This window comes from Homo sapiens, chromosome 1 (genome assembly GCF_000001405.40).
Source record: "Homo sapiens chromosome 1, GRCh38.p14 Primary Assembly".
Classification (NCBI taxonomy): Eukaryota; Metazoa; Chordata; class Mammalia; order Primates; family Hominidae; genus Homo; species Homo sapiens.
In genome coordinates, this window is record NC_000001.11 from 232036662 (window position 1) to 232062541 (window position 25880).

Consider the following 25880-nt stretch of genomic DNA (forward strand, 5'->3'; position numbering starts at 1 on the left):
TTCGAATGTGCTCCTTAACAATGTGCCCACAGTCTCTCAGGAGGGAGCTCCAGATGGTGAAGGAAACTCTGCAGGCCATGATCCTGCAGCTCCAGCCAGCAAAGGAGGCGGGAGAAAGAGAAGCTGCAGCTTCCTGCATGACAGCTGGTGTCCACGAAGCACAAGCCTGAGGAGTGACGGGATGGGGGAGGGAGGTGGGCCACCATGTTTGGACCCGGGGGGCTGCTCTTCCCTCCCCCGCCATAGCTAAGATGCCTGAATCAATTACGGAGATACAGAGCCTTGAGGTCTTTCAGTGGAAAGGTGGTTCATGTTCATTCTCATCAGTGTGAAACTGAGGAGTCTGCAATTTGGAATATGGAGAGAGAGACTGATTTGCTGAATTTCCTTCTAAATGTCACTCAAAAATTTCTTTTCCATGTCATTCTTGGGAATGTCTTCCACAGGATTTGAGAATAGTTTCATCTCAGCCCCCATTAGAGAGAAGTTGGGGTGAATTCTGGAAAAATGTCTCTTTTTCCTGTGCCATTTGCCTTCTGCTGCAACGAAAATATTTCCTGATTCAAGATTCTATAAAAAGGAAACCAAGCATAAGACTCTGTCATCATACCTGTTACACGTTCCTACAGGTGCACAATCTAAGAGAGCTAATTAACCTCAGAGTCTGGAGTTAACAGCTTTTCACCTTACTTCTCCTGTGATCTAATATTATCTTAGAAAAATTAATATGCAATTTCCAAAAGATATTTTGGTAAGACAACAACCTCCCAGTGATATGCCACCTTTCAATTTTCCTTTTGTGGCAATGATTGCATCTGAAGAAAGGATCCCTGAGAGTCTCTGTTTCATCAGGACATTCTGAAATTTACCCACAGTGAGGCTGTGGATGGATCAGGGGACCTGTATAAAATGTTTGAGCCTGTTCCATTTTCCCGTGGAACCTGTTTCACTCAATGCCAGGCAGTGCAGCATTTAGGAAAGCAGTGCAGTACTCAGTAAGGCAGTGCAGTACTCAGTAACACAATACAGTACTCAGGCAGTGCAGTACTCAGTAAGACAGTGCAGTGCTCAGTAAGGCAGTGCAATACTCAGTAACAGTGTAGTACTCAGTAACAGTGAAGTACTCAGTAATACAGTACAGTATTCAGTAAGGCAGTGAAGTACTCAGTAATACAATACAGTACTCAGTTAGGCAGTGCAGTACTCAGGAATGCAGCACAGTACTCAGGCAGTGCAATACTCAGTGCGGTACTCAGTAACACAGTGCAGTACTCAGTAACAGTGCAGTACTCAGTAACAGTGCAGTACTCAGTAAGGCAGTGCAGTACTCAGTAACACAGTGCAGTACTCAGTAATACAGTACAGTACTCAGTAAGGCAGTATGGTACTCAGTAAAGCAATGCAATGCTCAGTAACACAGTGCAGTGCTCAATAAGGCAGTGCAGTGCTCAGTAAGGCAGTGAATTGCTTAGTAACACAGTGTAGTGCTCAGTAGGACAGCATAGTACTCAGTAACACAGGGCAGCTAGTACTCAGTACTATAAGTACTGAGTACTTATATAGGCAATGTAGTACTCAGTAAATCAGTGCAGTACTCAGTAATGCAAGGGCATTTCAGGCTCCTGCTGGGCTGCTTCTTTGGCCCAGCTGGGACTCCTATTGAGACAGCTGCAAAACAGGCTGATTTCAATTAGGCAGCACTTCCCAAAGTGCACTGAGGAAGGTGGCCCCAAGAGAAGCTCTCTAAACAAAGGAGTACCCTCTCTGGTCAAGTACCTTTGGTAAATACACCATACCATAATATCTGCTTGGAGAACCACAATGCACATTAGCATATTAGTCTGAGAGAGAACTTATAGTAAGGAAACTCACTTGATTTTATCTAACCTCAAACTTTCCAAGTTTAATGGATCGTGAATTTTTTTCATGTAACTCCTATTCATATCCCATAGATCTAGTATTGTACAGCACTGCATTCTCTGAGGAAGTCCCAGTCCAAACTCTGATTTACATCACTTTAGAAACCACACTCACACTTTTGCAGAGTGTTGAGCTTAATAACTACCTGCCACAGATTGGTAAATTTAATCCAGTGGTTGTTCTGTTTGTGCTTCTGTTCTCATTTATGTGTTTAGGGATAGTGAGGTTCCTGCCTTCACTAGGATCCACGGATATGAGACCATTTTTGTCATTTCCTGAAGTCACACTGGCGTTTCCAGAAGGCATCTGGTGCTTTGCTCAGCCTTCCATGCTGTGCAGCACTTCTGTCCTCAGTCAAGGAGATGGCCATGCTTAAGCCAGCAATTGGCTGGGGTCCAGGAAACAAAGCAAAAGCACAATATGTGAATGTGCTGATTGTGTTCCCTATGGCTTTATCTCGAGCAAAATACACTCTACATATTTTAATAATAAGTATAATTAGCTTGTTCCTGGACTTCATTTTCAATGATGAACCAAATTCCTGAATTATTTATAATTGTGTCTAAAGAAAATTATGAACTGGTCACATGGCACTTGGAATCCTTGAGTTAATTCCAGTGAAGCAAAACTTGGGAAGAGTCAGGATTGGCCACATTGCCAATAACAAATTCCTACTTCGACATATGTCTTTTCAAAAAGCCTCCCAGACACAAGACATCTTAACCGTCACTAGCCCAAGTGTTTTGTATTACTCAGACACCATCATGAAATAATTCTGTGAGGTCATGATGTATTTGAAAATTCTGCAAGTTAATAACTGCCTTGAATTGTTTGAACCCGAAATAAGGGTTCTTTGGTACCTCTAGTAGATAGTGTGTTCATTTCCCTGCTGCAAATTTTGAAGTATTTGGGCAGGTGAGTCATGTTTTAACCACAAGCCATAACTCATCTGTTGTCTTTGCTTGGTCTTAGAGTATCATTCAGAAAGTCCGCTAAGGGCCAGCGTGCTTCTTCTGGCTACACAACCTTCTCAGGACAAGCCCACTGTCTTAAGCCACTTTGACCCTGGGAGACACAGGACTGTGTATCCTCAATCATACTATACAGCAGTTTTTGTCAGGGGAACATAAAAATATCCAAGAGAGGTTAGGGCTTAGATTTAAAAGCATCAAAACAACAACAATGGAAATTTATGTTGGCGATAGCCAAGACCACAAGCAAAAGCACATACTGGAAATGATGAGTTAGAATCTGATTTGACTGGGATGTTTTATGAGAATGTAAGTGTGATATTATACTGTCTGCCTTGCTGGAATGCTGGCTTTCAAATGGTCACCCATTTTTCTTTCACTGGCCTGAGTTAGGACATGCTATCAGTAATAGTCCCAGTTCCATCCAACTTTCTGAAATTTCATTTTTTTTTTTGAGATGGAGTCTCTCTCTGTCACCCAAGTTGGAGTGCAGTGGCCCCGCAATCTCGGCTCACTGCAACCTCTACCTCCCAGGTTCAAGCTATTCTACTGCCTCAGCCTCCCAAGTAGCTGGGGTTACAGGCATTTGCCACCGGGCCCTGATGATTTTTGTATTTTTAGTAGAGACAGGGCTTCACCATGTTGGCTAGGAGGGTCTCAAACTCCTGACCTCAGGCGATCCACCCCCACCTCGGCTTCCCAAAGTGCTGAGATTACAGGTGTGAGCCACCGCACCCGGCCAACTTTCTGAAATTTCAAAACTGAATTGATCCTTCTCCAAATTAGTATATACTATTGGAAACTTGTCTTTCCCTGCAGTAAGGCTGGTTTCCCCACCCCAGAAACATGTAACGGTTGGTACCATGCTAAGCCCTTGCCATGCTAAGCCCTTTACAGTCATATCCTATAATCCCCATATCAACCTTATAAGGAAGGTGTTTGTAGATGATGCAACTGAGCCTTAAGAGGACTAATTCCCTTTTTCTAAGGCACAGAGCTGGTAAAATGTGAAGTAATAGTGAACCTAACAGTCAGAGACAGGCAGCATGCTCTTAACTAGTGCTCTTCCTAAAGTTCCTTTAATGTCCTTTTGAGATTTTGAGCCATGGAACTTACTTGTTCACCTGGCTAAGAACTCATGGCCACTGTGGAAATCTTGGTTAGGGAGTCAAAGAAACTGAGCCTGGGGCAAACGAGGCTTCCCACACTGCCAGGGGAGCCTCACTGTGAAGTCTAGGCTCAGACAGGCATCAACAAACCTATTCACCCCACCATCATCCTGATCTAACCATTCCCCAGTCATCCCAGGAAAACCACTCACAGCCTGACACTGGGCTGACTTTCTTGAAGATCCTCATCCAATTGGTGTTTTTCAGAAGTGTTCCAATATTATGAATTCTGTGTTGTGGAGAAAAGCAACCATGCATTTACTGGTCAATGCCTTCTTGTATATGTAATTCAATACTTTTACTTTTAATATCCTCACCTTATCTAATCTTTGAATTTTGTCATGTAATTTATTGCTTCATTAAGGTTACTTTTTGTTATACAAAATAAAAGCTGATATCCAAGGCATGGTGCATCTTGATGATTTTTTGTCCTTTGAAGTATGGATGATAGAAAAATGTATCAGGTTTATTCATCTCATCTTTCTGTTACAGGATGATTAATTGTACAGTTACATCACACGAAACATTTATAATAAAGTCATGCTTTAGAATTGCACGTGTTTACTTTCAGATATCAGCAAATCAGAAAATCATGAAATATTCTATTCCCAGACTCCTAGATTAAGGAAATTGAAACTAACATTACCACTAGAGTTGGGAACAAGACAAAGATACCCACAATACCACTGAAAATATTTTACTGGAGATGCTGGCTAATTTAGTTAGGCAAGAAAAATATAGAAGGGTTACAATTTGGAAAAGAAAAAATAAAGCTTTAATATTCACAGATGATGTTATTGTAAGCTGAAAACCCAAAAGAATCAACAGAAAAACGTTTACACAATTAACACAATCAAAATCAACAGGCTTCATATATGCAGACAATAATTGGAAGACTGAGTATAAGAAAAGACCCCATTTTCAATAGCAACAAAAAGCAAGAGAAAATGGCTAAGAATATATTTATATAAGAAATGCATAAGCCTTAGATGAAGGAAATTTTAAGATGAAGGACATGAGACAAGAATTGAATACATGGAAAGACACATTAAGCTTTTGGATAGGAAGGCATCATAAATTTAAAAATTTCCATCAGTCAATTTATAAATATTTCCTGATCCCAAATGGGACAATAGATGTCTAGTTAGCCCCCATATGCATTCTCCCATTCATCCTTTTAGCCGTTCTGGGTCTAGACACTTAAACTGCAGAGGTACATGTGTGCAGAATTGCAGGTGTACATTTGTAGCATTGTTTGTAAGGACAAAAATGAGAACAACCGACATTTTCATTTGCATCAGTTGGAGACTGGTTAAATAAATTATTGTACATTCACACTATGGAATGCTTTACAGTTGCTAAAAAAAAATCTTTGTGTACATATGTGCTTGTCTCTGCAGAGCTATCACTGGAAAGGGATCCAGGCGACTTAGTGGAAAAAAAATGGGAAGGAGACTTACTTTTCTGCTCTATACTATTCTTTTAAACATTTGGTACCGTGTGCATATATTTACCTATTCAAAAATAAAATCATTTCTTTAAGAAAAAAGTCATAATTAATGAGCCTGAGAGTAGGCCCTCAAGTAGGGCAGGGCACACAGGCTGTTGAATGGTTGCCCAGGTCTCCTTGCGGCTTATGCAGGATTCATCTGCTATTTATTTACCTACTGTGTGCCCAGCACTGTGCTAGGGTATGCACCTGATATTGGTGATAAAAAGGCAAGTATGAACTATGACATAATGTGATCAGATGATTTTAAGTTGAGAAGGAAATTGATATGGTTAAGCTTTGTGTCCCCACCCAAATCTTATCTTGAATTACAATCCTCATAACCCCCATAATCTCCGTGTGTCAAGGGAAAGACCAGGTGGAGGTAATTGATTCATGGGGGCAGTTTCCCCAGTGCTGTTCTCATGATAGTGAGTGAGTTCTGATAACATTTGATGGTTTTATAAGGGGCTCTTCCCCCTTCACTCAGCACTTCTCCTTCCTGCCGCCTTTTGAAGAAGGTGCCTTGCTTCCCCTTTGCCTTCCGCCATTATTGTAAGTTTCCTGAGGCCTCCCCAGCCATGCTGAACTGTGATTCATTTAAAACTCTTTCCTTTATAAATTACCCAGTCTCAGGCAGTTCTTTATGGCAGTATGAAAACGGACTAATACAGAAATGAATCATTATCATTGAAACTTTTATCACTTTAAAGACAAGAGATTGATTTTGTTCTGGCCATTTTCTTGAACAACTACATCTGGGGGTGTAGTACTGAAAATTCAGCACTCTCTGGAACCCACGTTCTCTCCCTTCTGGGTTAGGGAATAACATCAAGTCTCCTTCCTTTGAGCCCTGGATCAAAGAGACCTGATAGGTGATTGATTGTGTGGGCAGAATGGAGACTTGGGAAATGGAGTCACATTCTGCCCTTCATTGTCCCTCAGGAACTACTTATGCCCTCATTGTTTTATCCAATTTTAGGTGTGCTTTTAAATGTACATATCACATACACTTTTCCACTGTGGAAAAGACACAACCACAAACTCCAGCATGAAGAACAGCCCAGTTGACCTCCCTCATCTTTACAATAGGACAAAACAGCTTCTTGAGTTCATTGGAAACAAAGCCTTTCCTACAGGGATGAGACCTTTTCCCATTGTTTATTTATTTATTCACTCAAGAAACATTGAACTCCTACTATAAAAATTGCCCTTCCTATAAATGAATGAATTCAAGCTACAGAGGTTAAAAGGCTTAGAGAAAATTATCCAGCAAGCAATGAAAATTTTGAGTGTCGACTCCAGGGACGCTTGGTTTTAAATCCATGCAATAAATCATTAAACTACACACAGACACACACACAGCAGTTTAATTAATGTTGAGCAACAGGTTTTTAAAAATTATTCCTCATTTGATTTTTATTTGTGATAAGAAAATGTAAAATAATCATTTTTAAAGATTCATGCATAGCCCACTATTCTCACTTTTCCAGCCCTTGTTTGTACAAAACTATATTTTCAACAAACTGTAGCCAGCACATTTTTATTCTTCTTTTGTGTTTAATATTACGGTATTTTCCATTTTGCTATATAATCATAATCATTGTTTTATTGCTGCATAATATTCTATCAAATTGATATACCATAGCTTAGCTATTCCCACATAATTGGACATTAAATCCTTCCGATGTTTTGTTGTTACAGGTAATGCTGCTGTGATAACTTCATGTGTGTAGCTTTTCCTTTCCTTTAAATTATGTCCTGTGAAGAGATTCCCAGGAGTGAAACTACTGAAAGATAAGAAAGAGTGGTATAGTTGAGATGAAATTAGCATTAGGAACAGAATTGAAGACAAAGATCAGCCCAGCAATGGCCCATTCCCCTGCAGGGAGAATTCTCAACCAGATATTGACTGGTTTAATTGATTTCGTGGTGTTCCTGCTCATCATGAATATATCCACAATAACCACATCAGGTGAGTCACTGTTGGACAATTCTTAACATTTACGATGAGCAATGTCGATCCTACAGCTATATCGTATTGATCTCCTTCGATACTGCTCTCGTTGGTCTGTGCTCCTCCTATTTTGTCTACAGATAAAAAGTGTAGAGTCATGAAGAATCCAGGATTTAAAGACTAGAGGTCTGGACTGAAGTTGTCTTCTACTTAGCACTTGTGTGATTTTTTAAGCTGATCACTTACCTTGTTGATCCTGCAAAATGAAGCCTGTCTTTCAGGGTTGTGGAAAAACTCAAAAGAGCCAATACATATGAAAATCTTTTTTTAAAAAAAGCAACATATACATACGTACTTCAAAATTTTTTAAAAATTTCTGCTATACGGAGTGAACAGAACCAATCTGAAGCAGGATGCAACCCAGTCAAGCGAGAACACTGTACTCAACCTAAAAAAGTGACTCTCAAGAGGTACCTGGTAATTCAGGTAGATTTCTTAATATAAAAAGGAGTATTTTCAATTTCTGGTTCTGTAGACCCACCTTCCCCAAACTTCACAATGGTCCCAGACACTTGGGAGAACTTGAATGCTTGAGATGCAAAGTGCTTTGGGTAACTTCTATTTAATCTGCTCAGCTCAGCAAAGCTGTGGGTAAATATTCAAAAACACCCAAGGGTTTGTCTAGAGCAACCTCCCCAATCTGGGGAATTGCACACAGCCAGAGCTTGCTTGGGATGGCCTTAGCCACAGTCCTCCTTCCACTGCCTGGCCCCTGCCTGTTTCACATCATCCGCCCGTAAGCAATGTGGTAAAGCAGATTCCAGTCCCTCGTGAATTCCCCAAAGGTGCATTTCAATATGAACCCCCTTGATTTGCCATTCTCTTTTGCCTCTACCTAACTTTAATAACTTTTCCCTAATTTTTACCAATATTTTCCACTTGGGGCTTTTATTATTTAGATGTCTTTTTCTTACCTCATGTATTTGCATTTCCTTTGTAGAAGAGAAGGGGAGAGTGGCAGTTCCTGATTACTTGAGAACTTCAGGGTGAGTTCATAGTGCTTCTAAAACACCCTTTTCATTTACTAACCCGTAAGAGCAAGGCTGAGGCGCAGGCATTGATTTCTGCATTCTGTGAAGGGCTTCTGCTCCTAGCAGGACAACAGCATCTGTAACAACTACAAAGCCAGGAGCACCAGGAATGCACACTTAGCTCTGCGTTCGTCCCAGCCTTCAGTAAATAAAAACCCCATGCCACCATCTTTCTTTGCCTGGATAGAAGCAGCAGATGCTTTGTGCTGGCCCAGAGAATTCCTTTTTTCACAAATGCAATGAATAAGAACACTCGACAGAGGAACACAAGGAGAACTGGAGGGAAGTTGTTAATACTCGCTTTGGGCAAAAATGCTTGTTGAGGTAGGAGGAAGATGTTTTAAAAAATGAAAATGGCAATAAATCAATGCACTCTTACAAAATATGGGAGGAGAGAATGAGAAAATAACAATGAGGCCAGAGGGAGGCAAATGACATGTTGCAACCTGTGAGAAAAAAAAAAAAAATTAACAAGGTCTTTATGTAATGGCGTGTACCACACAATGCACAGAAAACCATCTCTGATTTATTAGTTTCCCATGAGGGAAGTTGAGAAATGCAGAAGGCATGCATTAAAGGGTTGTCTTGCTAGGCAGAGTTTTGACTTTTAAGGACAAGCGTAGAAAGGCATCTCTTCCTGGCTTGAGGAGCTGGCAATTACCAGGGAGATGCCTGCCTTGAGATTTGACCTGAGTAAAGGCATCTGGATATTTTGTGCCTGGGAAGATTTGAGTCCTTCCTGATAATGAGGAGGCTGCGAGGGAGATTCTCAGCGAGTCTGCAAAGTCATGGTGAACTTGTTTCTTTTGTATTCCAATGCACTCCTTATGTCCCACTAGCAGGCAGGAGGCTCTGGGACAAGGCAGTGTCGGGGTCTTAGGCCTGGTCCTTGTCCTCAGAGTCAGCCCTATGCCAGGTATCCAGTACAAAGTTCCAAAGGCAGGCAGGGCACCCTTTCCTTCCATAAGGTTTCAACCTTAGTAAAATCTCAGCCCAAATTTTAGGTTTGGGAGGAGAAAAAAGTCTGCCCTAAGAATTGATAGCCTTCTCTCAGACAGGCTTGGGGTCAAATTTACTGACTCTGTGGTCTAGAAACCCCCAAGCTAAGAGATACATGTGAAAAATGGCCCTGGCAGGGGAAGGATTGATCTCAAGCAAGTGTCACTGGGGGAGATTAATTTGAGTAGCCACATGGGGAATTAAAAACTGATTCAGTGGGGGAGGGTAGGGACCAACATTAAATCATTTAGGTGCTCTCCCCAGCCCCACCCTCTCCCTACTCCCCCTTTCCCTCTCTTGTTAAATCTCTTCCTTGTAGAACCATTATTCATTCATGATGGTCATGGGAAATCTTAGCCACTAAGAAGATTGCTATAATCGCTCTCAACCTGCCTACACCCTATTTGTCACTTTGTTTTGCTATCAAGAAAATATTACTCACTCTTCCTTGATATTTTTTTCTCAGTCATAATGAGATCCCTCTCTCCTGTAGAGGAAGGAAAGGATTTTCTTGAATTACTGAAAGACTTTCCAAATTACGAAAAACATTAACAAAGGCAGTCAGAATGAAAGCTTTCTTCCCCAGACATTGCCTGAGGCAGACATGTGATGCCCCCATGTCAGCCACACAAAGTTATTGGGGTAAAATGTATGGTTTGGTTTTGAAACATGACAGACAGCTGGACACAACTGTCATGATGGGCATTTTCCACATGCCCATGACAAGAGGGTTATATGCGTGGACAGAAGGGCTGAAAGATTCATTATTGTCTATACCACTACCACAGAACTATGAAACTTGACTATGGAGACATCTGTGATATTTCACAAGGACCCAGTACTCTCAGGCATGACTGCACCATTGGGCTCTTGTATCACATACTCACTCCATAGCCTCCATGGTATGGTTTCTGTTCCCACCACTTCATTAAAATTCTTTTCACACATGATCTGCCAAATCCAACAGCATTTTATCTGCCCTCATTCCATTCTACATTTTAGTACAAGTGTGCAGTGTGGAAACTAATCTCTTCCTTATTGAACCTCCTTTCTCTCTTGGGTTCCGTGACACTCCATTCCCAATAGTCTTATCCTACATCCATCTTTCTGCATGATTACTCTTTCTTGTGCTTAAAAGATGGATACTCCAAGTCTCTGTCCTAGATCTCTTCTCTCATGGGCAATTTAATCTGCTTTAACAAGTTTTACAACATCTCCACAGTGATTATTCCCAAAGATATAATATTCATTGACAATATTGATTGGACACTCACCACATGTTAGGTACTGAATTGAACCCCAAATTCAAAGTTGTGTATGGTTCCGTACCCTCTAATCATTCTCCAGTTATGCCCTCTTTTCTGAGCTTTGATTCTGCTGGACATTTCCATCACGACTGTTACTGAACTGAACCACCTGGGGCAGCAAAGTCAAACACTGACATTGGGATTTGCAGGGAGACAACATGAGGCATTTATTGCAGAACATCAGGTGAGGAGAATCAGATAGCTCATGCTTAAGACTCCAACTCCCAGATGGCTTATGAATAAGAGTTTTTTGTTTGTTTGTTTGTTTGTTTGTTTGTTTTTTTGACAGAGTTTTGCTCTTGTTGCCCAGGCTGTGGAGTTCAGTGGTGTGATCTCGGCTCACTGCAACCTCCAGTTCCCAGGTTCAAGTGATTCTCCTGCCTCAGCCTCCCAAGTAGCTGGGATTACAGGCACCCACCACCACGCGAGGCTAATTTTTGTATTTTTAGCAGAGATGGGGTTTCACCATGTTGGCCAGGCTGGTCTCGAACTCCTGATCTCATGATCCACCTGCCTCAGCCTCCCAAAGTGCTGGGATTACAGACGTGAGCCACCGCACCCGGCCATGAATAAGAATTTTTAAGGACAGGGAGGCAGAGATTGTGAGCAAAGTTGTAAATCAATATATGGAGGGTATACATTGGTTTGACCTAAAAAGAAAGGATACCTCAGAGTAGGGATCCACAGGCTATAGGTGGATTTAACTATTTTATGAATTGCAATTGGTTAAGGAAGAAAAGCTTTGCTTAAAAATTTGGGGTCAGTAGGAAGATGCGTTAGGTCTGGCTCCTGGGTGTAACCTCCTCCAGGCCCCTCAGGAAGAACCCAGTTTCCCTCATCTGAAGTCTCTGTGCCAGCAGGCCACATCTTTCATGTGGTGGGGGTCCAGGTTTCTGAAAAACAACTCAAGGACATGTTAAGATGCTATTTTTAGTTTCTATAGGGAACCAAATATTTTGCGACTAACTTTCTTGGCGATTGTTTTAAGCTACTACTACCTTCTTATTTCTCAGGTTGCTCACTTACTTCTCAAGGATAAGGTGCCTTGAATTTCCCATGAAGGAACTCAAGATTTTCCTTTATTTCCAAGCTTGGTGGGGCGTGCCCAGCAGGCCCCTAAGAGGAGTCTCTGTTCCATCTCACTGCCTCATAGACATCTCAAGCACATTATGTCTAAAACCAACCTCATTTTTGTTTTTTTTTCCTCACAATCTGCCTACCATTCATCTGTTCCTTACCTCGGTTCTCGGCATTTCCGTTTTCCAGGAGATACTAATTGGAACCCTCTCGATTACCTTTTGTTTCTTCTTCCTCATCTCATATTCAATCAGTCAAGTCCTAGTGCCTTTAGCAGTTGAAGTTTTTATCTCTCATTCTGTCTAATCTGTAGTTCAGATTCTTATCTTCTCTTACTTGAGCAATCATGGTAAGTTTCTAATTGGTTTCCCTGTCTCTAAATTTCTGTTAATCTAAATTCATGGCCAAAGTTATCTTTCTAAACCAATGATCAGATCAGGCTCAAAAACCTCCAGTGATTTTTCTATTGGCTAAAGAATACTTGTTTTATTACAGAACAATTATTATCTGTCATCAAACTATACTTTCAGATTCATCTTGAATACCTCCTTTCTGTTTTTCTTTTTCTTTTTTTTTTTTTTTTGAGACAGAGTCTTGCTTTGTCACCTAGGCTGGAGTGCAGTGGTGCCATCTCGGCTCACTTCAACCTCTGCCTCCCTGGTTGAAGCGATTCTCCTGCCTCAGCCTCCTGAGTAGCTGGGACTACAGGTGCATGCCACCACGCCCAGCTAATTTTTTTTGTATTTTTAGTAGAGACTGGGTTTCACCATGTTAGCCAGGATGGCCTTGATCTCCTGACCTCATTATCCATCTCCCTCAGCCTTCCAAAGTGCTGGGATTACAGGCGTGAATCACTGCACCAAGCCGAATACCTCCTTTCAATTGCTCTGGATGACTCTGCATTCCTAACTTTCCATCTGTTTTCACAGGGACCTTTGTTCATAGCTGTGAACCATAGCCTTGAATCTTGGTCTTTACCCATATAAATTATGCTCATTTGTTAAGAGTGTGTGGGAAGACAATCAAGTAAGAGCCCTAGGTGTTTGGCCTGAGGAAGTGGGCAAATGGCAAAACTATTGGCTGAGACGGAGAAGGTTTTAGTGAAGAGAAGATACTTGTGCAGAGGTTGTGGGGGGCAGGTGGGAGTGAGGGGGAGTATCTGTAGTTTGGCCATGTTGAGTGTGAGACATTGATTAGACATGCAAACAGAGATGCTGAGTAGGCAGTATGAGTTTAAATTGAATTGCGGCTGGGCGTGGTGGCTCACGCCTATAACCCCAGCACTTTTGCAGGTCAAAATGAAAGAACTGCTTGCAGCCAGAAATTTGAGACCAGACTGAGCAACATAGCGAGATTCCGTCTCTAAAAAAAAAAAATAATAATAATAGAAAAGAAAAAAAAAAAAAGAAATACCTGGGCACGGTGATGCATGCCTGTAGTCCCAGCTACTTGGGAGGCTGAAGTGGGAGGATCACTGGACCCCAGAAGTTTGAGACCACAATGAGTTATGATTGTGCCACTGTACTCTAGGCTGAGTGACAGAGCAAGAACCTGTCTCAAAAATAAATAAATAGATCTGGGGAGTTTTATAGATTATATATATAGATTAAAGTCACAGAACTATGTAAGACCAAATAAGGATAGAAGAGTATTTAACAGAGAGAGAAAGCCAATGAACACAGCTATGGCCACTCTAACATTTAGAAGTCTGTAGGGGAGGCAAATCCAACAAATGACCTTGAAAAGGCAAAATTGACAAGGTAAGAGGAAAACCAAGTGGGTTTGTAGAGTTCTAGAGAAGAAAACCTTCAAAGAAAGAGCAGTGATCGACCAGGTTAGATGCTTCAGGGAGCTTGAATAAGATGAGATAATGTACTGACTACTGACCTCAGCTAAACATAGGTCATCAATGACTTTGGTAGGAGCAGAATCAGTGGGAAAGTGGGACAAAGCAGGGGTTAGGGTGCTGGTAATCTGGCTCTCCAAAACACAAAAACAAAATCCTGATTTATAGCATTTGCCAATTTCCATGAAATAAATATTCCCAAAGAGCTGGTTTCAAGCTAACAACATGACATCACTGAACCCAAAAATGGGAAGAGATGCCGCAATAGGTTCTTGCCAGCAGCTCCAGCACACGTGGGACTGAAGCCTGACTCTGTGGACACAGGACAGGAGAGGCAGTCATGGGAGGCAGCAAGAATTAACCACCTTTGGGAGGAGTTTTGATCAAGGGTCAGTAAGCTTTCAAATGATTTGCACAAATCAACTTAATCCTAACAACAGCCCTCCAAGGTACTTACTAATATCTCCCTTCTATGGGTGAGAAGACTTAAACTTATGGATCACTACGCAGAAGGAGGATATGTTGGATTCCCTCAGTCCAGATATCAAACCAAGTAATGTTAACAGGAAATAGAAACATCTTTCTTCCCTTTTCTTGGTGTCCTGTGATAAAAATAGAGCAACTTTTAGCTAATGCTCAAGCTAATCCTTTTCTCCTTCTATTATTATTCACTGTTTAGATAGACACAGAAAGAAGACATCAACAGAAGTAGCTCGTGTTTAACATGATGGAATTCTCATAGGCAGTCCTTGAAGCAGTGTGAGCTGATGAGCATTACACTGTTAATTTGTGAATTGTTTAATTGGTACTTGGCAACAAAGTCCATCTTTGACAAGGCTGCAACTTCCTGAACATTTATATTTAGGATCCTCCTTCTTTCTACATTATTTTCTCTCCCTTTAAGCACTTCCAATCTTCAACCTAGACACCCAGTACTTTTGCTGCAGTCTGATTTCTCATATATCTATCCTTGTTGTCTAGGAAGCCTGAAGACCCACCTGGAATGTGAATAAGGTAAGTCCCTTCCTAAAATGTCAGTGATGTTGGATTTTTGTCTGGTGTTGTTGGACCTAAGGAAAAATTCATGGAAATACAAGAAGGTGTTGGTCGATTCAGTTCTTCCTTGTGTCTGGGGTTTCCGGAGGAGGAGGAGGAAAAGGAGGAGACAGAGGAGGAGGAGGTAGGAGGTGCTTCTCTTCCTCTGGTTCACAACCTTCACATTCCCTTGCATAGATGGGAAACCTGAGCAAAATACTCCAAAAATAAATAAAAATTAATATATTATTTAAGAACCAATATATCAAAACATCCACTTAAATAACTATCTTTCTTTTTAGAGTTTTCAGGTGATGGCAGCCTTATTTTAGGGAGCCTAATTCCTCTTCTGAAATTGTCTTCAGATCCAATTTTCATACCACCTGTGAGTACCAATCTCATCTAGATGGTCACCTCCTTTTTTGACTTGAGGGTATATTGTTCATATTGATCACCTTCCTAATAGTAATAATAGCTATGCAATATTTTCAGACCCTGTCTTAAGCATTTTAAATGTATTACTTTATTTAATTCTGTGACAGTCTTATGGCAGCAATCCTATGACAAAAGTAATCAGTCAGAAAAATGGAAACCTTGTTAAGTGTTCTAAACAGATTGTGATTTAATATAAGGAATTTCCAATTGAGAAAGACTAGAGAACAAAATGTTAAGAAAGGCCACCACTAACTTTCAGGTTCACCATGTGGCCTGAGGAATCAGGAAATTGCTGCTACTGCTCATGTTAGGAAATTACAAGAAGCCTTCACCAATGGTCATAATCAACCTACAGCACAAAGGTGAGTGGGTTTAAGGGGAGTGCCTTGAGGTCACAGTGCAGCCTCGTAATGCCTGGGCTCCACACATCTCTGCACTACTGTACACCACCAGCAAGCTAATATGGGTTCAGTCTCCCTGTCCGAATTTCACATCAGAGCCTCTCATTCCATTTCCAAGAAGCCTGGAGACAAGGTAAGCTGGGAAATGTTCTTTCCTGTGATATGGGGAAGATGTTAGAAGAGATTGGAAATGAAAGCTGGTGGCCAAAAATATTTATCACTGTTATTGCTCCCATTTTTAGGTGATTATCCTGAATAAATTGCCACAGAAATTAAATAGTACAACCATGCTTTGAATACAGAGCTTCCCTAGTCCAAGCTCATGCTCTTACCCATTAAAATGTACTTGGCTGTGGTTGACTTTAGGTTGTTTTCAATGAATACATATGCCTTCAACAAATAGATATGAAGCTATTAAAGGTTTTCAAAAATGGTTCTGAAGTGAACTCCAAAAGAGGAGCTCCAAAAATGCTTTGCATTACAGTGGTAACATTAGAGAAAAACAAAAGGCTTCCCAAGCTGTTAGAACCATTTTGGGGCTGTATGAATTATGAAACTTGTAACAGCTCAACATTTCTGCTCAGACATGACATATAGCATCTCTGCTTGCATTCCACTGGTCAAAGTACATCTCAGGGCCAACATCAATGGAACAGGATGGACACTCCTCATTGGAGGTACACAAGTCCTATAACAGTGGGCAGTATAGAAAAGTGGGAAGTGGCCAGGCATGGTGGCTCACGCCTTTAATCCCAGCACTTTGGGAGGCCGAGGCAGGTGGATCACTTGAGGTCAGGAGTTTGAGACCAGACTGGCCAACGTGGTGAAATCCTGTCTCTGCTAAAACTACAAAAACAAAACAAAACAAAACAAACCCACAAAAAAATTAGCTGGGTGTGGTGGAACACACCTGCAGTCTCAGCTACTTGGGAGGCTAAGGGCACAAGAATCAACTGAGCCTGGGAGACGGAGGTTGGAATGAGCTGAGATCACCCCACTGTACTCCAGCCTGGGCGACAGAGTGAGATTCTGTCAAAAAGAAAAGAAAAAGAGAAAGAAAAGTGGGAAGTAAATATTTGGAAACAGAAAATAATTGATTGCAGTAATGTATCAAAAAATAACAGGAAATGAAGGAAACAAACTAACCAAGGAACAAGTACAATAACAGCAAAATTGAAAAGTGAAAGGTGTTTCCCAAAAGACAAAAAAATAGAAATATGTCACTTCGTGCATTAGACTCAGGACAAGATTAAAAGGAAAGACTCCTCTTAACTGAAGAGGAAACAGACTTTTGGGACTGAAAATACAGGAGTTTTCAAAGACCCCCTTGGATATCAGCAACCTAATTAATGTCAAAAGCAACATTCTGCAAACCACACATACTGAGTGAGGGAAGAATACAGTTAGAGATTGCTCAGATTAATTAAATGTGCTCAAATCTCCAAAACCCAATCATTTATATATAAGTTTGCTCAAAGGGCTAGCTGAAATTATCCAAGAGCCATAGAGGTAATCTTTAGAAAATTATTAAGGACAAGCATATAAAAGGAGAAAAATATATTGCATATCATTTAATTCCTTTTTCTTTTCATTTATTTTAATGTGATGGATAAATTCGCATAGTAAAACACTTCTTACTGTTTGCTTCCAGAAAAATTATGACAATAGACTAGTTCCAATAATACAGAATAATATATTATGACCAAGTGGAACTTATTCCAGAAATGCAAAGCTGGTTAAATATCAGTAAATTCATTAATGTAATTCAACATATTATTAGATCTGAGAGGGAAAAAAAACTATATGATGTAGCTGTAGATGCTGAAAAAATATTTGACAAAATTGACACCCATTTATGATTCAAAACCCTGAAAAAAATAGAAGTCAGATATTTCTTAAATAAAAAAATATAAAAGTATCTGAATATCTGTCCATGTTAGCCCCCAGACTAGCATCTTATTTGATGGAGAGACACTGGAGACATTCCTGCTAAGGTCAGGAGCAATAAAGTCACTACTATTTCATATCGTATTTGAAGTATTAGCCAACAATTTAACATATAGAAATCTAATAGTCTTTATACACAGAAATAATAACCAATTAGAAGATATAATGAAAACAAAGACCTCATCTACAATAACAAAAAGATGTATAAAATACTTAGATATGATTTTAACAAGAAATGTCTAATAACTATATAAGGAAAACTTGGAAACACTCCTAGAAGACATGAGGACCAAATTAAACAGATGGAAAGTCATACTGTATTCTTGGATAGAAAGATCTGAGATCACTGGAACTCTGGGAGTAGAGACCAACTCTGCATACACTGCCACCCTGCCCTGGCCTCGGCAAAGGGGTGATGTGGGAGGACACATTTTCATTCACTGCCCCTTCATTAAGTCCTGTGACTCTGTACCTGAGTGACTGTAAGGTTAAAAAAAATGAAAGGGAATGATTGTAGCTATAAGTTATCCTGGGTGCTAAATATGACTATTCTTGGAGTCCAAGAGAGAAGAAAAACAAGAAGTTAAAATTTGTATGGGGGCGCTTTCACAGTCTTGCCTCCTGTATTGAAATCTGCCCTCTTTTTTTTTTTTCTTGGAAAGAGATCCACTTTCCTCTATCTTAAGTAATAAAAATTATATTTTTCTTTTGGAAAAATCCTGCCACCTCGTAGGATTAGGACCCTACTTTCTTCTACTGCCTAGCTCAGTAATCCACTCTAGTCTCCAATTCTAAACAATTCAGTGAAGATACCATCACTGGAGGTAAATAGAGGTGGTGGGATCTTCACTAAAGTAGCTGGGCTTTGTCACTTCAAGTTCAGCACTGACCACCTCCCCCTCCAACCCTGTGAGCTCTCTCACCTGCACTGAGGTGTACCTATGCAACTTGATTCTTTCTGTGACCCTCCAATGGACATCTACTGGATAAAACATGCTGGCTTGCATCACAGAGTTCACAATTCAAATCCACAGTAATTACAAAAATATTTTCTTTGATGCAACATAATTTCCAGAAGTTCCCTGCCTGTAATGGAGATAACACTCATGAGGGAGAATGGCAGTTCTGCCTTGTTCAGCCTCCTGCTTTCAGGCTCAGCCCAAGCTCCCCTGAACCACAGGAAACAGCCTTTAACATTGTGCCTTTTTCAACAACACAGCCGTCGACTTTCAGTGGTCAACTTTGGGCAGTAGGTAGATCTGGCCAAACAGAAATGGCCCAGGGCCAGATAAACTCCCAGTGGGATATAGTCCCCCATTCATCCCTGTAAATTGACCATGGCACTTGGTAAGGGGATGTGTATTTTTTTCTTCCTCCAATTATACATCACAAAAGATATAGAAGTAGACTTACCAAAATGTTTATACTGATTATTGCCAGGTGGCAGGGAAAAGAAGAGAATTTTTTCTTCTTCTTCTTTATGCTGAGTTTTGCTGATTTTTCTGCAATAGCCCTGGCTTATCTTGCAATTAAAAATAAGTTTTAAAAGGATAAAATGAGGAAGAACAAAGCTAGGGAAAAGAGAATGCCTCACTGCAGGTAAGCATTGTTCATGCACAAGCACCATCAAGGGAATTTGAGCAAACCAGTGAATTAAACAGTATTCAACAGTAAAGGCCAAGGATAAAACAAAATTGGCTGTAATGCCAGCCCTATATGTTAGGTTTTTCAGTTTAATAAATACTTGTTGAGCTCCTATGGTATGCTAGGGGCAGGAAACATAAAAATAATTAAGACACATCCTTGAGTTCCAGGGTATTATGACTTGGTGCACTACCTCTGTGGTCTCTATTCTTTTCCTTACATGGCCTCAAAGCATGGATTCACACATTCTCCCTACATGTTGTTTCTCCTTAATTATGAGTTAACAATGTACATAATGGACAAGGCAGCCACTTGGGACTAGTGCATTTGGAGTTCTGCAGGCCTAGTTGGTACTCTGACTATGAGAGTTTCCACCCGAATCATTGCAAATATATCATTAGGGAATTGCATTCCACAGTGAATTTTATTTATTATTTTTTAATGTTTGAAATAATTTCCCCATAGGGTAAAGACTTTGTCTTTTTTTTTTGAGACGGAGTTTTGCTCTAGGGGCAGTGGTGCAATCTCGGCTCACTGCAACCTCCGCCTCCTGGGTTCAAGTGATTCTCCTGCCTCAGCCTCCCGAGTAGCTGGGACTACAGGCGTGTGTCACCATGCCCGGCTAATTTTTGTGTTTTTTAGTAGAGATGGGGTTTCACCATATTGACCAGGATGGTCTCGATCTTGACCTCGTGATCCGCCCACCTCGGCCTCCCAAAGTGCTGGGATTACAGGCGTGAGCCACCGTGCTCGGCCGACTTTGTCTTTTTTAAGGTTGAATCCCCAGCGCGTAAAACAATGTCCGGCATGTAGACAATCAATCAACGCTTGTTAAATGGAAAAAAATTACTTCAGCAATGGAAGCGTGGAAGTAATGCCCTTACGTTTGACTGTGTTTTATCTAATATCATTGGGCCGACTCAGGAATTCTTGTGAAGTGATAAATTCTAAACTGCAAATTACTTTCAAATATAGTGATTTTAAAATAAGTAATAACCTTAAATGTGTAGAGGAATTGACATCATGGTATGCCAATAATCCTTTGTTAATTTTGATGTTGGTGGGAGTATTTTGTGTATGATCTAGCGCTAATACCTTTTTCATGTTTTAGATATTCTCATAAAGTAACAGTTTGTTGTGTGTGTCCTCTCTCTAAAGAGTGTAATAATAAAATGGCCCTGTAGCAATGTGGAGTGTGGAGAGACAGTGAAAGTAGACTGCATAGAGGAGGGGGCATGGATGAGGATTAGGAAGGAAGGTAGTTTCTTGTCTACTTTAAATTAAATCTAGCCAGTGTGAGCTTCCCCGTCCTGATGGGCTGGGTCCTGCTCTAGGGTGACCACCTGACACTGGTTTTATTCAATCCTGCTGCAGGAGTCTTCATGAACCTTTTGTTCACAACCTCAATCAGTGAAGAGAGGAAGTCCGCTTTCAGCTCCTCTCCAGGATCCCCGTGGGTGGCTTCCCTCCACCATATGTTCCTCCGAAGCTGTGCTGCCCAGCCACTTGCCTTGGGGCTCGGTACAAATGCATCTTGGAGGTGAAGTGCTGGGGAAGACGAAAGTGCTCTTTCCAGATGGCACCAAATTAGCCTCTTGAGATACGGATTTGCCGGGAATATGTTTATAAGGAAAGCAAACAAAGGAGTCCCTGGAGATTTTAAACAGTCTAGGGCCTTGGGTGGGAAATGGGGGAGGTAAGGAAGAAGGCTGGGGAAAGAGGCTGGAGAAGGCAGTAGGGCAAGGGAGGGGGGCATCTATCCCAAACCCACCCACAGCCAACTCTCGCCTCCTCCTGGCCATTCACAAGGAAGCCAGTTTCATTGCCAGACAACACACATTATCAGTATGATTTAAAAATAATGATCTGATTAATTTAAATGTGAATCTGATTGCCTTTAATATTGAAACACTGGCTCTAACAACGCCTTCAAGAGCTTAAAAAGAAGTCTTGCTTGTCTTATGTAGCTAGTGTTTATTTTGTACTTACTATGAGTCAGGCATTATCACATTTAATTCACAAAAGTCACACCAAGAGGTAGACATGATTACAATGTCTATATTACAGATAAGGACACAAAGGTTTAGAGAAGTTTTAAAAAGGTAAAAAAACATATCTAAGATTACATATCTAGTAGGTGGCACCTCTGAGCTGTATACTCAGGGTTGTGAAACCAAACTCAGTGTTGATAACCTCAATGCTCAACTGCCTCTACGTAGCTGAAGCACTGCCTCCTGCCCTCTGCCCTCTCTGCTTCCCAGAATCATCACCCTTTTCTGTGAGTTCTTCTTTATTGGCTGAGAGACACCAGACCCTTCATAATCCTGATTTCTCTCCTCAGGTTCTCAGTGATCTAGTGCTTCACACTATACTTGATCATGTTGCCCAGCTAGTGTTGGGTTGATTATTGTTTTCTTTGTTTTATCAAGAATGACAAACAAGAAGCTGTGTTGGGTGAGTGTCCCCAGAAACTGATCCTGAGACAAAGATTTAGGTGTGAGTGGTTTATTTGGGAGGTGATTCCTGGAAGCATCTGTGGAGGACTGGGGAGGTGAGACAGACTGGAAAGGCATCCAATGGTGACTGCCATGGGCAACTGAGACTTAACTTGCTGGTGAACTGTGGGAGAGGCTGCAGAGCACACCTGAGAATTTTTCCCTCTAAGGGGCGAGGATGTTAGGGATATTTATCTTCCCACTCTCATCTGTCAGAGGGATTTACTTCACAGCACTCCCAGCCTCCCCCATGTGCAGATCAAGAGAAAGTGCCTAGGCAGAAGTTGCAGGTGCTTGCAACAGGACACACTGGAATAGAGAGCTCCATGGGGCTGAGCAGGCAGGCCCATGGAGCTCTCTATTCCTACGTTTGTAGCCCTGGGACTCCCTCTCTACACCACAACAGAATCACTCAGTTCTCACAGCCCTTCTTTCTGCTGAGCCCAGATAAGAACTCAGAATCCTTCTCAAAAGCGGTTCTCCAGGCAGCAATTTGCCATTGATTAGAGTTGGTGCTCAAGATAGAACCCATGTTATATCCTTTCTATCTAGTCTTATATTTAACCTTGAAGGACTTCTGCTCCATCATGCAATGATGACTTCTAATGTCACCTTCAGTAATAATATTCTATGACTACATGACCCTATATGTCTATGAACGTGTCTTCGGTTGCATTAGCTTTCTTAGAAGTTTTTCTCTAAACTGTAGAGTCAACTAAACATGTCAAGTCTTTTTCAAAAAGATTGCTATTATTAGTTTTCTATGTCATGTGTCAGCGCAGCTGACTTTCTAAACCTGAGTTTAGGACTTTCCATTGATTCCTTTTAAATTTTATCAAGTTAGTTCAGGTCGATCATTCCAGCTTGTTAGAGGTTTTTTTGCAAAGCAATTCCATTATCCAAGAAATGAGTCATCTCCCCTAACTTTTGGCAGCTGCAAATTTGATAATCAGGTTGGTTTTATTTTCACAAAAAAATTGTTTAAAATATTTAGCAGGACGGGACCAAGGACAAAACCCTTGACTAGAGACCTCCCTTCTGTGGCATGTGATCCATTATTAATGGAAAGGAAAGCCCTGCAACCTGGGGTCACTGAGAGTGCCCAGGGTAGGGATGTTTGAGGTCACTGTGCAGCCTGGATTCTCAACCAGCTGAACCAGTCTAATGGAGAAACAACCTTGGGCTCTTTACCCATAAGGATTTCTCCTCGCCCTTGGTCAGATGGATCCAGCCGTTTTCCCTTGGTGCATTCCCACATCCAAAATGGAAATGCTAACCTCTCTAATGATGCTAGTAAAGCTCTCTGAGATCTCTGGCTGAAAGCTGGTATGCAATGCAGATTCAGGTACTACTTCACGATTGCTACTGCAGTTTCTAAAGCACCTTTCCTTCTTCCTGCCGTGGCTCAGCATGCCCTGTGTTTCTCCTTCAGCATTTTCCTATGGCTAGCATCTGCTCTGTTCTATTCTGACTCTCCCTCCTGAGAGCTAGCCAGCTGTCCATGCCAGGTGATGCTTTGGGAGGACACAGGGCCTGAATGTGTTTGCATGTGTGTAAGTCGGTGTGTGTCCGGGTGTGTTTGTGGAAGCAGGGTGAGGGGAAGAGGAGGAAGAGGAGGGCGTAAAGTGGTTCCAGCCAGCCTGGTTTGCATGAAGCATGTTTATGCACAGTTGGCAAATTTCCAACAGGTGCCATTCACGTCAGTTGGTGCAAGAGGCCCCTTGGCCCCGGCTGATTGCACCACTCTGGGCAGTTGTCCAAAGCAGCATTATCTGTGCCTCTTGCAATGTCAGTGGCTTCCTCCAGCCTGCCCTGTTTGTCCTTCTTAGACCCTCGGACAGGCCCATTCATCCTCAGCAGCACTTCTCAGGGGAAGGGACAGATCTAGAATAGATTAGTAGAAGCAGCACAGAGAAGAGTCCTCTTTGGGTCTGATGGCCTTTTCCAGAAAGAGCAGACTCTTCCAGGTAGTGCTTGCAATGTGAAACCCTAGACACCTTGGGCTTTCCCCCCTTGCCCAATCCCACAGAATTATGATGTTCATCAACATGCATAATTTATGAAAGAACACATAAAAAAGCGCTTTGCACATGTTAAAGTTTTATAAAACATATAAGGTAGTCTTGTGATTTGTGAAGCTTTTATATGTCCCCATACCCATTTCAGGTACATTTACACACACACACCCTCGCATTTGCTGCATTTCACATCTGTTGGGCTGCCCCTGAAGGACACAATCTAATTCCCTGTTATCATGAATAAATAATGATAGCAGAACAACAAAGAAGAACAGGAAACACAAAGTGGTACTACGGCCAGTAAAGCCTCTGTGCATATGATATCCTGAATTTCTTTTATTAATTTCTCTAGTTCTGTTCCATTTATCTGTCTGAGCACCAGAGGGCTAAGCCACAGATACAAGGTCCTCTCTCCTCTGTGATCAGCCACATGTCTCTGCTTCTGTGCATTCTACTCTAGAATGGACACACCTGGTAACATGGTTTGAATGTGACTCTCCATATCTCATGTTGAAACGTGACCTCCAGTGTTTGAGGTGGGCGCAGTGGGAGGCATTTGAGTCTGGGGGCAGATCCCTCATGAATATGTCGTTGCTGTCCTCATGGTAATGAGTGAGCTCCCACTCTGTTAGTTCACGTAAGAGCTGATTGTTTAAAAAGAGCCTGGCACCTCCTCCTCTCTCCTGTTGCTCCCTCTCTCCCCAGGTGACATGACAGCTCCCCACTCACCTTCTGCCATGACTGCAAGCTTCCTGAGGCCTCATGAGAAGCTGAGCAGATGTGAGTGCCATGCTAGTACAGCCTGCAGAACTATGAGCCAAATAAACCTCTTTTCTTAAGTTACTCAGCATCATTTAATGCAATTACTATAATTGCATTCTTTTATAGCAATGCAAAATGGACAAACACACTATGGCTGCCTGACCTTCCATAGTGAAAAGAGGATATTAGGCATGAGTGTATTGTCATTTATAAAGCATGATGCTGATACGTAGAACTGTTTGGTTCTTTCCAGGTAATGCATCCCATTTATGTACAGGGGCAATTCTGAAGCTACATGACATGGAAAAAGACTGTCCTTTTCCCGTTTGGCTACATAGAATGGCAGTGCTTACTGTTGCAAACAGGTATCATAAATGTAAAGGAAACAAGAGTGGCTCTGAGCAACAATAGTCCCAGCGGCTCTCCCTGTACTCCCTGTCTGTTCTCTTCTTCCACCTGGTACTACCCAACTTCTTTACGATATATGCATTCGTCTAGAGCATTGTAGCATCCCAACTCATTTGACCTCTCAACAACCTTGTAAAGTCGGGAAGGCAAGGGCTTTATTATTCCCATTTTAGAAATAATGACTGGTGTTCCCTGGCACCTCAAACACATGCAGTTAGCACCCATACTTCTTTCACAACAGGATGAGTTACTGAAAAATTAACAGTAGTGCTGTTGCTTTTGCTGGGTCAGCTTATTAGCAGAAAAGAGAGAATGTGGAATTGCCACAACACCCTCACGGGAAGCATTGCCAGGCCACTGGGGGCTGAGTTCAAGCCAACTCAACCCCTGGCCATGTAGACAGCCACATTGCACATAAGATGTTTAACTGGTGGCCAACTTTAAGATATTGAGGAGATTTTCCCAGAAACTATGATTTCCAGTTTCTCTTGGAGAAGGTGGAAGATCTCTGAACCTGGAGATGGCAGGGCTTCAAGGTGGGATGGTTGTGGTGGGTGCCAGGAGTCAGTGATGTCCCCGTGGCAGAGTCTGGAAGTGGAGAGTGGGGAGGGGGGCATTAGCAGGTGTCGCTCTCGCAACTTCACATGCCCAAGAACCTGAGCATTGGCAGCGCGGCCTCTGAGGCCTGAAGAGCAGAAGCCCTTCTCTAGTTTCCTTGGCTGTGTTAGCCGGGAGGCTTTCATGAAATCCCAAGGGGGCAGGAAGTAGGGAGGGGTCCCCAAAAAGTAGTCGAGATTGAATCTTTTACCAAATTTGACAAATGAGGGTTTTGTTTTGTAATTTTTATTTAAAAAGTATTTATTTATTCAATGTATTTATTTTTTTAGAGACACAGTCTCGCTCTATTAC

At 41.6% G+C, this 25880-nt stretch overlaps 1 protein-coding gene and 3 long non-coding RNA genes across 7 annotated transcripts in view, besides 4 other annotated features; all 4 read left to right on the forward strand.

Annotated features, from left to right (window-relative positions):
- TSNAX-DISC1 (TSNAX-DISC1 readthrough (NMD candidate)) overlaps nucleotides 1-4611 on the forward strand; it is a 512620-nt gene extending 508009 nt beyond the window's left edge. Inside the window, exon 16 of the long non-coding RNA NR_028393.1 lies at nucleotides 31-4611. This is a non-coding gene — a long non-coding RNA (TSNAX-DISC1 readthrough (NMD candidate)). The remainder of the gene's footprint in view (nucleotides 1-30) is intronic.
- DISC1 (DISC1 scaffold protein) overlaps nucleotides 1-4611 on the forward strand; it is a 414483-nt gene extending 409872 nt beyond the window's left edge. For all 4 annotated transcript variants that reach the window (NM_001164537.2, NM_018662.3, NM_001012957.2 and 1 more), the window contains one exon: nucleotides 31-4611. In NM_001164537.2, the coding sequence (NP_001158009.1) occupies nucleotides 31-170 (140 nt within the window). In that variant the 3' untranslated portion in view covers nucleotides 171-4611. The remainder of the gene's footprint in view (nucleotides 1-30) is intronic.
- Nucleotides 1347-1893: an enhancer, noted in NCBI's record as "NANOG hESC enhancer chr1:232173754-232174300 (GRCh37/hg19 assembly coordinates)". NCBI's record gives its function as "activates a minimal SCP1, AML or CMV promoter by ChIP-STARR-seq in primed H9 embryonic stem cells {active_cell/tissue: H9 hESC(primed)}" and the evidence as "EXISTENCE:reporter gene assay evidence [ECO:0000049][PMID:30033119]".
- On the forward strand, nucleotides 5980-22083 carry LOC105373172 (uncharacterized). Its single transcript, XR_001738523.3, has 5 exons — nucleotides 5980-8552; nucleotides 14808-14840; nucleotides 15164-15246; nucleotides 15556-15658; nucleotides 20663-22083. It is a non-coding gene; the product is annotated as an uncharacterized LOC105373172 (long non-coding RNA).
- Nucleotides 7356-8555: an enhancer, noted in NCBI's record as "CDK7 strongly-dependent group 2 enhancer chr1:232179763-232180962 (GRCh37/hg19 assembly coordinates)". NCBI's record gives its function as "activates an origin of replication core promoter dependent on BRD2, BRD4, P300/CBP, MED14 and CDK7 cofactors, with strong dependence on CDK7, by STARR-seq in HCT116 cells {active_cell/tissue: HCT116}" and the evidence as "EXISTENCE:reporter gene assay evidence [ECO:0000049][PMID:35650434]".
- Nucleotides 7356-8927: a biological region, named in NCBI's record as "CDK7 strongly-dependent group 2 enhancer GRCh37_chr1:232179763-232180962".
- Nucleotides 8426-8927: an enhancer, noted in NCBI's record as "NANOG hESC enhancer chr1:232180833-232181334 (GRCh37/hg19 assembly coordinates)". NCBI's record gives its function as "activates a minimal SCP1, AML or CMV promoter by ChIP-STARR-seq in primed H9 embryonic stem cells {active_cell/tissue: H9 hESC(primed)}" and the evidence as "EXISTENCE:reporter gene assay evidence [ECO:0000049][PMID:30033119]".
- Nucleotides 22084-22166: 83 nt separating the features above from the next.
- LOC105373171 (uncharacterized) overlaps nucleotides 22167-25880 on the forward strand; it is a 33098-nt gene continuing 29384 nt past the window's right edge. Inside the window, exon 1 of the long non-coding RNA XR_949271.3 lies at nucleotides 22167-24928. This is a non-coding gene — a long non-coding RNA (uncharacterized LOC105373171). The remainder of the gene's footprint in view (nucleotides 24929-25880) is intronic.